The sequence below is a fragment of the Homo sapiens genome, chromosome 15 (assembly GCF_000001405.40).
Source record: "Homo sapiens chromosome 15, GRCh38.p14 Primary Assembly".
NCBI lineage: Eukaryota > Metazoa > Chordata > Mammalia > Primates > Hominidae > Homo > Homo sapiens.
In genome coordinates, this window is record NC_000015.10 from 63459608 (window position 1) to 63460712 (window position 1105).

Below are 1105 nucleotides of genomic sequence, written 5' to 3' on the forward strand. Positions count from 1 at the left end.
ACCAATCAGCACTCTGTATCTAGCTAATGTGGTGGCGACTTGGAGAACCTTTATGTCCAGCTAAGGGATTGTAAATACACCAATCAGCACTCTGTGTCTAGCTCAAGGTTTGTAAACACACCAATCAGCACCCTGTGGCTAGCTCAAGGTTTGTAAATGCACCAATCAGTGCTCTGTGTCTAGCTAATCTAGTGAGGACTTGGAGAACTTGTGTGTCTAGCTGAGGGATTGTAAATGCACCAATCAGCACTCTGTCAAAACGGACCAATCAGCTCTCTGTAAAATGGACCAATCAGCAGGATGTGGGTGGGGCCAGATAAGGGAATAAAAGCAGGCTGCGCCAGCCAGCAGTGGCAACTCCCTAGGATCTTCTTCCACAGTGTGGAAGCTTCCTTTTTTTTTTTTTTTTTTTGCTCTTTAGGTTCACGCTGCCTTTATGAGGTGTAACACTCACTGGGAAGGTCTGCAGTTTCATTCCTGAGGCTGGCGAGACCATGAACCCACCAGAAAGAAAAAACTCTTAACGCATCCAAACATCAGAAGGAAAAAACTCCAGACACACCACCTTTAAGAACTGTAGCACTTAACCGTGAGGGTCCGTGGCTTCATTCTTGAAGTCAGTGAGACCAAGAACCCACCAATGCCAGACACGCTATTGGTAACTCACATTGTTCCTGAGGTCATGGATTCCTAACAACCACCACCATCACTGCATCTACTAATGCCACTGGTTGCTTCGGGCTCCCCTAAGGACAAGGGTCAGGGTGTGGTGCAGTTCCCATCCTTCGCGCTGCAACACGAGCTGCAGTAGCTCAGGCACCCAGACCTGAGGCAGGTCTGGCTTTCTGAGAAGTCCTCCAGAAGGGCTCCCAGGGAAACAGCCTAGAATGCAGGGGAATCAGCCTCCCAAAAGGTGAACTTTGATTAATGAGAGATAGGAGGTGGGCAGGCACTGGCAGGTAGAGTGCTCTCCTCTCCTCCAGGGTCTCCACGCAGCCTGTCCAGAGAAACCCCGCATGGCCCCTGATCTGCTCTGGCCCCTCCACACCTCCCTGGATCTGTGGTTCCTGCCTGCCTGCCTGCCTGCCTCATTTCTCTTTGTTCT